Genomic DNA, 10149 nt, shown 5'->3' with positions numbered 1-10149 from the left:
ATCTGCAGGTCATCAAATGTCAACCTAAAATAATCAAAAGAGTCAGGGTATAATTTAAAGAGAGTTCAGAGGGGCCAAGATGGCCAATTAGAAGCAGCTGAGGTCTGCAGCACTCACAGAGAGGAATGAAAGGGGCAAGTGAATACAGCACCCTCATCTAAAATATCCAGGTAGTCACATTGGGACTGATCAGGAAAATAACTCGACCCACAGAGGAAAAAGAAAAGCAGGGTGGGGCGATGGCCCACTCAGGAATGACAGAGCCAAGGGAACCCCAGTCAAGGGAAGCGGTGAATGATTTTGCACTCATGGGAAACTATGCTTCTCCCACGGATCTTTGCAAATCATGGATCAGGAGATCCCCTCATGATCCCCTGCCACCAGGACCTTAGGTCTGACACACAGAGCTATGTGAAGTTGGCAGAGCACCTTCTCAGGCATGCATAGGCCCAGAAGCTTTGCATAATCTGGCTCCAGGATCCCCAACAAACGTGTCTGCAACTCAGGCAAGGCAGAAGGTCCACACATACCCCTAGGAAGGGGGCAGAATCCAGGAACTCAAGCAGTATCATTCTGTGGACCCCACTTCCACAGCATCTCACAAAATAAGACTCACTGGCTTGGCATTCCAGCCAGCCACTGGCAACAGGGCGGAGCCTGCCTGAAACAGGATGGAGCCTCCAAGGGGAGGGGTGGGTGCCATCTCTGCTGTGTGGTTGACTCAGTCATTTGTGTCTGTGGGCTTCGGAGACTCCAAATAATCCAGTCGAGGAAGGATCCCCCCAGCAGTGCCCCACAGTGGCTTTGCCATATTGTGGCCAGACTGCTTCTCTAAGCAGGGCCCCAATCCATTCCTCCTCACTGGGCAGGACCTCGCAGCCAGGACCTCTAGCCACGCCTGCCCACCTGCACATATTATGGACAGATCTCTGATCTCACCCAGGGATGGAGTGCCTAGGGGAGGGAAGGGCCACCACCCAGGTTGGTTGGGTGACTCAGTGGTTCTGGCCTGCAGGCTTTGGACAGTCCAAGTCAACAGGGGCAAAATTGGTTCCCAACCATGACACAGTTGTTTTGTTGAGCTGTGGCCAGACTGCTTCTTTAAGTGGGACCCCGATCCACTCCTCTTCACAGGGTGGGTCTTCCCAGCCAGGGCCTCTAGCCATCTCTATCTGTGCTCTACCAGCCCAACAGAGCTCTAATTTCTTTCTGGGATGGAGTGCCTGAGGGGTGGGGCAGGCTGTCACCTTGGCCATTCGGGCTTCTCAGCTGGTCCAGCCTGTGGGCCTTGGAGAACCCAAACTGATCAGGGTCTGAAGAGATCTCCAACACAACACAGTTGCTCTACCAAAATGCAGCCTAAATGCTTCTTTAAGCAGGTCCCTGATACCACTCCTCCTGACAGGTTGAGACCTCCCAACCAGGGTCCCCAGCCATCTCCTACAGGCATGTTTGGGCCAGAAATAAGTCAGTAACTCCCAGGACGGAGCTTCCAGAGGAAGAGGCAGGCTACCATCTTTGCTGTTTTGCAGCCTTCACTGGTGATACCTCCAGGTATGGGAAGAACCAAGGCAACTAGGGTCTGGACCAGACAGACCCCCAGAAAACTGTGGCAGCCCTATGGGAGAGTAGCCAGACTGTTAAAAGAAAAACAAACAAACCAACAGAAAACAACAACAACAAAACACACAAAAAACCCATCCAAAGCTCAGCAACCTCAAATATCACAAGCAGATGAGCCCTCAAAGATTAGAAAGAATCAACACAAAAATGTTGAAAACTAAAAAGCCAGAGTGCCCCCTTTCCTCCAAATGATTTCAACACCACTCCAGCAAGGACTCAGAACTGGGCTGTGGCTGAGATGGGTGAAATGACAGAAGTAGGCTTCAGAACATAGATAATAACAAACTTCGCTGACATAAAGGAACATGTTGTAACCCAATGCAAAAAAGCAAAGAATCATGGTAAAACATTACAGGAGCTGACAGCCAAAATAGCCAGTTTAGAGAAGAACATAACTGACCTGTTAGAGCTGAAAAACACACTGCAAGAACTTCACAATGCAAGCACAAGTATTAATAACAGAATAGGCCAAGCAGAGGAAGGAATCTCAGAGCTTGAAGACTGGCTTTCTGAATTAAGACAGGCAGATAAGAATAGAGAAAAAAGAAAATGTGGCACATACACATCGTGGAATACTATGCAGCCATAAAAAGGATGAATTCATGTCCTTTGCAGGGACACGGATGAAGCTAGAAATCATCATTCTCAGCAAACTAACACAGGAACAGAAAACCAAACCCTGCATGTTCTCACTCATAAGTGGGAGTTGAACAATGAGAACACATGGACACAGGGAGGGGAACATCACACACTGGGGCCTGTCAGGGGATGGGGAGCTAGGGGAGGGATAGCATTAGAGAAATACTTAATGTAGTTGATGGGTTGATGGGTGCAGCAAACCGCCATGCCATGTGTATACCTATATAACAAACCTGCACATTCTGCACATGTATCCCAGAACTTAAAGTATAATTTAAAAAAAAATGAAAAGGAATGAACAAAACCTCTGAGAAATGTGGGATTATATCAAGAGAATTAATCTATGACTAATTGGGGTACCTGAAAGAGACAGAGAGAATAGAACCAAGTTGGAAAACATACTTCAGTATATCATCCAGGAGAATTTCCCCAACCTAGCAAGACAGGTCAACATTCAAATTCAGGAAATATAGAGAACCCCAGTAAGATATTCCACAAGAATATCATCTCCAAGACAGATAATCATCAGATTCTCCAAGGTCGAAATGAAAAAAAATGTTAAGGGAAGCCAGAGAGAAGGGCCAGGTTACCTACAAATGGAAGCCCATCAGACTAACAGCAGACCTCTCAGGGAAACCCTATGAGCCAGAAGAGACTGAGGGGCCAATATTTAACATTCCTAAAGAAAAGAATTCCCAACCCAGAATTTCATATCTGGCCAAACTAAGCTTCATAAGCAAAGGATGAATAAGTTCCGTTTCAGATAAGCAAATGCTGAGGGAACTTTTAACCACCAGAGCTGCCTTGCAAGTGCTCCTGAAGGAAGCACTAAATATGGAAAGGTAAAACCATTATAAGCCACTACAAAAACTCACTGAAGTGCACAGACCAGTGACACTATGAAGCAACCACATAAACAAGTCTGCAAAATAACCAGCTAGCATCATGATGACAGGATCAAATCCACACATAACAATACTAACCTTAAATATAAATGGGCTAAATGCCCCAATTAAAAAACACAGAATAGCAAGCTGGATAAATAACCAAGACACATCAGTATGCTGTCTTCAAGAGACCCATCTCACATGCAAAGACACACATAGGCTCAAAATAAACAGATGGAGAAAAAATTACCAAGCAATGGAAAACAGAGAAAAGCAAGGGCTGCAATCCTAGTTTCTGACAAAACAGACATTAATAAACCAACAAATATTTTAAAAGGCAAAGAAGGGCATTACATAATGGTAAAGGGTTCAATTTGACAAGAAGAGTGAACTATCCTAAATATATATGTACCTAATACAGGAGCACCCAGATTCATAAAGCAAGTTCTTAGAGACCTTCAAAGAGACTTACTCTCACACACAATAATAGTAGAAGACATTAACACCCCACTGACAATATCAGACAGATAATCAAGACAGAAAATTAACAAAAATATTCAGGACCCGAACTCACCTCTGGATCAAGTGGACCTGATAAATATCTACAGAACTCTCCACCAAAAACCAACAGAATATACATTCTTCTTATTGCCGCATGGCACTCACTCTAAAATTGATCACATAATTGGAAACAAGACACTCCTCAGCAAATGCAAAATAACTGAAATCCTAACAAACAGTCTCTCAGACCACAGTGCAATCAAATTAGAACTCAAGACTAAGAAATTCACTCAGAAACACACAACTATATAGAAATTGAACAACCTGCTCCTGAATGACTCTTGAGTAAATGATAAAATTAAGGCAGAAATCAAGAATTTCTTTGAAATTAATGAGAACAAAGACACCATGTACCAGAATCTCTGCAATGCAGCTAAAGCAGTGTTAAAATGGAAATTTATAGCACTAAATGCCCACATCAAAAAGCTAGAAAGAGTTCAAGTTAACAACCTAACATTACAACTAAAAGAACTAGAGAACCATGAGCAAACAAACCCCAAAGCTAGCAGAAGACAGGAAATAACCAACATGAGAACCAAACTGAAAGAGAGGAGAAACCAAAAAAAAAAAAAAACTTCAAAAAACCAACAAATCCAGGAGCTGTTTTTTTTTGAAAAAATTAATAAAATAGATAGACCATTAGCTATACTAACAAAGAAGTAAAGAGAGGAGATTCAAATAAACACAATCAGAAATAAGGGGGATATCATCACTGACCTTACAGAAATACAAACAACCATCAGAGAATACTATAAACACCTCTATGCACATAAACTAGAAACTCTAGAAGAAATGGATAAATTCCTGGACACATACACCCTCCCAAGACTGAACCAGGAAGAAACTGAATCCCTGAATAGACCAATAACAAGTTCTGAAATTGAGACGGTAATGAATAGCCTACCAACTAAAAAAAGCTCAGAACCAGACAGATTCACAGAGGAATCTACCAGAGGTACACAGAGGAGTGTGTACCATTCCTACTGAAACTATTCCAAAATATTGGAAAGGAAGGACTCCTTCCTAACTCATTCTATGAGGCCAGCATTATCCTGATAGCAAAATCTGGCAGAGATACAATAAAAAAAGAAAACTTCAGGCCAATATCCTTGATAAACATTGATGCAAATATCCTCAACAAAGTACTGGCAAACCAAATCCATCAGCACATCACAAAACGTATCCACCATGATCAAGTAGGCCTTATCTCTGGGAAGCAAGTTTGGTTCAACATATGCAAATCAATAAATGTGATTCATCACATAAACAGAACTAAAGACAAAAACCACATGAATTATCTCAATAGATTCAGAAAAGGCCTTTGATAAAATTCAACATTCCTTCATGCTAAAAACTCTCAATAAACTAGGTATTGCAGGAACATATCATAAAATAATAAGAGCCATATATGACAAACCCACAGCCAATATCATACTGAATGGGCAAAAGCTGAAAGTGTTCCCCTTGAAAACCAGCACAAGACAAGGATGCCCTCTCTCATCACTCCTATTCAACATAGTATTGGAATTTCTGGCCAGAGCAATCAGGCAAGAGAAAAGAATAAAGGACACTCAAATAGGAAGAGAGGAAGTCAAATTATGTTTGTTTGCAGATGACATGATTCTATATCTAGAAAACCCCATAGTCTCAGCCCAAAAGCTTCTTAAGCTAATAAGCAACTTCGGCAAAGTCTCAGGATACAAAATTATTGTACAAAAATTGCTAGCATTCCTATAAAACAACAACAGGCAAGCTGAGAGCCAAATCAAGAATGCAGTCCCACTCACAACTGCCACAAAAAGAATAAAATACCTAGGAATACTGCCAACAAGGGAGGTGAAAGACCTCTACAAGGTGAACTACAAACCACTGCTCAAAGGAATCATAGAAGACACACACAAATGGAAAATCGTTTTATGCTCACAGATAGGAAGAATTAATATCATGAAAATGGTCATACTGCCCAAAGCAATTTATAGATTCATTGCTATTCCTATTAAACTACCATTGACATTGACATAATTAGAAAAAAACTATTTTAAAATTTATATAAAACCAAAAAAGAGCCTGAATAGCCAAAACAATCCTAAGCAAAAAGAACAAAGCTGAAGCCATCACTCTTCCCAATGTCAAACTATACTACAAGGCTCCAGTAACCAAAACAGCATGGTACTGGTACAAAAACAGACATATAGACCAATAGAACAGAACAGAGAACCCAGAAATAAGACAGCACACCTACAACAATCTGATCTTGTACAAACCTGACAAAAACAAGCAATAGGTAAAGGATTCCCTACTTAATAAATGGTGCTGGAAGAACCGGCTAGCCATATGCAGAAAATTTAAACTGGACCCCGTCCTTACATCATATACAAAAATCAACTCAAGATGGATAAAAACTTAAATATAAAACCCAAAACTATAAAAACACTAGAAGAAAGCCAAGGAAGTACCATTCAGGACATAGGCATAGGCAAAGTTTTCATGATGAAGACACCAAAAGCAATTGCAACAAAAGCAAAAATTGACAAGTGGGATCTAATTAAACTAAACAGCTTCTGCACTACAAAAGAAACCATCCTCAGAGTAAACAGACAACCTATAGAATGGGAGAAAATTTTTGCAAACTATGCACCTGACAAAGGCCTAATATCCAGCATCTACAAGAAACTTGAAAAAATTTACAGGAAAAAATCAACCTCATTAAAAAGTGGGCAAAGGATATAAACAGACACTTCTGAAAAGAAGGCATACATGCTGCCAATAATCATATGAAAAAAAGCCCAACATCACTGATCATTAGAGAAATGCACATCAAAACCACAGTGAGATACCATCTCACAACAGTCAGAATGGCTATTATTAAAAAGTCCAAAAACAACAGATGCTGGTGAGGTTGTGGAGAAAAAGGAACGCTTTTTCAATGTTGGTGGGAGTGTAAATTAGTTCAACCATTGTGGAAGACAGTGTGGCAATTGCTTAAAGACCTAGAGGCAGAAATACCATTCAGCCCAGTAATCCTATTACTGAATGTATACCCAAATGAATATAATCATTCTATTATAAAGACACATGCACATGTATGTTCATTGCAGCACTATTCACAATAGCAAAGACATGGAATCAACTTAAATGCCCATCAATGATAGACTGGATAAAGAAAATGTGGTACATATACATCATAGAATACTATGCAGCCATAAAAGGGAATGAGATCATGTCCTTTGCAGGGACATGGATGGAGCTGAAAGCCACTATTCTCAGCAAACTAATGCAGAAACACAAAACCAAATACTGCATATTCTCACTTATAAGTGAGAGCTGAATGATGAGAATACATGGACACATGGTTGGGGAACAACACACACTGAGGCCTGTTGGAGGGTTGGGGGTGGGAGGAGGGAGAGCATCAGAAAAAATAGCTAATGGATGCTGGGCTAGGTGGTGAGATGACTTGTGCTGCAAACCATAGTGCACATTTACCTGCACTATGTACCCCTGATGCACGTGATGCTGCACATGTACCCCTGAACTTAAGATAAAAGTTGGGAACAAAAATAATAGTTTCTTCCCATCGCCTTTGCAATGCCTCTCTTTCAAGCAAATGATTAAACTCTCCATCCTATCATGGTGTTGTGTGGTATGTGTGTTTTAAGGAAAGCTCCTTCTCTCAGTTTTTCATCCACCTGCTCCATCTCGCTGGTCTGATGGCACAGCTGTCATCCTGGAATTTTCCTTCCCTGCTGTCCTGGGATGTCACCATTTACTGGATCCCATGTCTTTCTTTTTCTTGGCTACACCCTTACTTTACCACAGTACATCCTCAAGTAATATAGAAAACAAGTTTTCTGAAATTTCTCAAATTGTCTACCCTCAGATTTGAGTAACAGATTGGGTTATATTGGTTAACAAGTTATAGGTTGAAAATTATTATCTCTCATACCTTAGAAGGCAGTGCTCTATTACCCTTTGGTATCTAGGGTTGATAATGAAAAGTCTGAGACCAATCTGATTCTCATTTTTTGTATGGCATTGTTCTCCACCCTCTGAAAATTTTTAAGAATTTAACTTTATTCTTGGTGATTTCTCTAGATGATGGTTCTGTTTGTTTATTTGTATGTTTATTCCCTGCCGGGGGTACTCAATAGGCTTTTCAATGTGGATATTTGTACTCCTGACATTTCAGTTTTGGAATTAGTTTTTCTTTCTCTATTGTTAGTTTGATAACCTTTCCGTTCTCATTTTCTCTATTTTCTCTTCCTGAAACGCCTAATCAGTTAGGTTAGACCTCCTGAATGGATCTTCTGTCTTATCTGTTTTCTTGTTGTTGTCATTTGTGATGGTCAGATTCATGTGTTGACTTGGCTAAACTACAGTACCCAATTATCCAAACAATAATCTGGGTGTTGATGAGAATGTATTTTGTAGATGTGGTTAACATCTACAATCAGTTGATTTTAAGAAAGGGAGATTATCCTTCATAATCTGGGTAGACCTGACCCAAGTAGTTGAAAGGCCTTAAAAGCAGAACTGGTTTCTCTAAGGAAGAAGAAGAAATTCTACCTGTGAATGGCTGCATCAGCTCCTGCCCAAGAGTTCCAGCTTACTCTTCCTATTGGCCTGCCCTATGAATTTTCAACTTATCTAGTCAGCTCCCACAATCACATAAGCCAGTTTCTTCCTTCCTTCCTTCCTTCCTTCCTTCCTTCCTTCCTTCCTTCCTTCCTTCCTTTCCTTCCTTCCTTCCTTTCCTTCCTTCCTTCCTTTCTTTCTTTTCTTCTTTCTCTTTCTTTCTTTCTTTCTTTCTTTCTTTCTTTCTTTCTTTCTTTCTTTCTTTCTTCCTTTCTTTCTTTCTTTCCTTCTTTCTTTTTCTGAGACGGAGTTTTGCTCTTGTTGTTCAGGCTGGAGTGCAATGGCGTGATCTTGGCTCACTGCAACCTCTGCCTCCAGGGTGCAAGTGATTCTCCTGTCTCAGCCTCCCGAGTAGGTGAGATTACAGGCACATGCCACCACGCCCAGCTAATTTTTGTATTTTTAGTAGAGATGGGGTTTCGTCATATTGGTCATGCTAGTCTCGAACAGGATCCTGACCTCAGGTGATCTGCCAGCCTCAGCCTCCCAAAGTGCTGGGATTACAGGTGTGAGCCACTGCGCCTGGCCACCACATAAGACAACTTCTAGATAGATAAATATAGCTATAGATCTCCTACTGGCTCTGTTTCCCTGGTAAAATCCTGACAGACACATTCTCCTTTTTAAAATATTTTCTTTATCATATCTTTCAACTCTTTTATACATATTTTTATTTCACAATGTTCTTTTATTTCTAAGCATTCTTTCTTGTTCTCAGGTTGTTCCCTTTTTATAGTATCCTGTATTATTTGTTTTGTTAATATAATATTCTTTCTGAGTTTCAAACTGTCTTTTGTTTCTCAATGTATCTCTCACCTCGAAATTATATTTTTCTATTTGTTTATCTAAGTGTCTCTGCTCCATAGTATAGATTTTCCTTAAATGCCCACTTGGCAGGGGGAGGAATAAATGAGAGGAGTTCTGCATATTTGGAGACCATTGATTGTGCAGCCATTAAATGTCAGAATGTAGAAATTTTTTTTTTAATCCAGAGACATTTCACTTATTTTGAGAATTCTGTAATTTTTTTCTGCTTGAGTGATATACATACTGCATGCACCACCTTCAAGATGGATGGGTGAGATTTCTGTTTCATATCCAGACTTCAATTAATCCCTTATGTATCGCCCTTAACTCTCCATCATATTTGTAGTTCAGCAGGACAGGTTCAGTCCTCCCTAACTGTGGCTCCTCCGTGTACGATATGAGCTATGGCATCTTTTGTGTGTTTCATTAGTATAAACTCTTGCATGCATTTTCTGTCTTCCAGAAATGTGTTGAAATATCTCACCTGCTCCAGCCTTCCCTATCATTCTATTCATGCCATGAGTCTACACATTTTTATTCCATCACATCATTTTTGGTGTTGGGAGAAAGAGGAAATGTGGTCAATTCATCAAATTTGACAAAGAATTTGATTATTTTTTAATAGATTGTGTATTAAATATTAATTGAAGGTAGTGATAGTGATGGTGATAAAAATGATAACTAGAAAACACAAATCCTATAAAACAAGATAGAGATATACCCATTTGTAAAATTCCACTTTCTGTCCTCTCTTGAAGAGCCCTGGATGGTTCCTCATTGATCATCAGATCAAGGCCAGATGGAGCCCCTATGGCCTCCCTTCACTGATCTCACCTTACTTTTAGGCCCTTCTCTTTTCTTGGTCACCAAATCAGAACTTGTTCTCCTATAAACATTTTTTTATTTTCAACCCTCAAATTCCAGCCTCTCTGCCTAGAATACTATTCTTTCCCATTCCAAATCTTTCACTACCATTTATGCCCATCTCGAAGCCCAT

This window comes from Homo sapiens, chromosome X, assembly GCF_000001405.40.
Source record: "Homo sapiens chromosome X, GRCh38.p14 Primary Assembly".
In the NCBI taxonomy this organism is placed as follows: domain Eukaryota; kingdom Metazoa; phylum Chordata; class Mammalia; order Primates; family Hominidae; genus Homo; species Homo sapiens.
The sequence above is the reverse complement of the archived record's forward strand: the minus strand, read 5'-3'. Positions refer to the sequence as shown.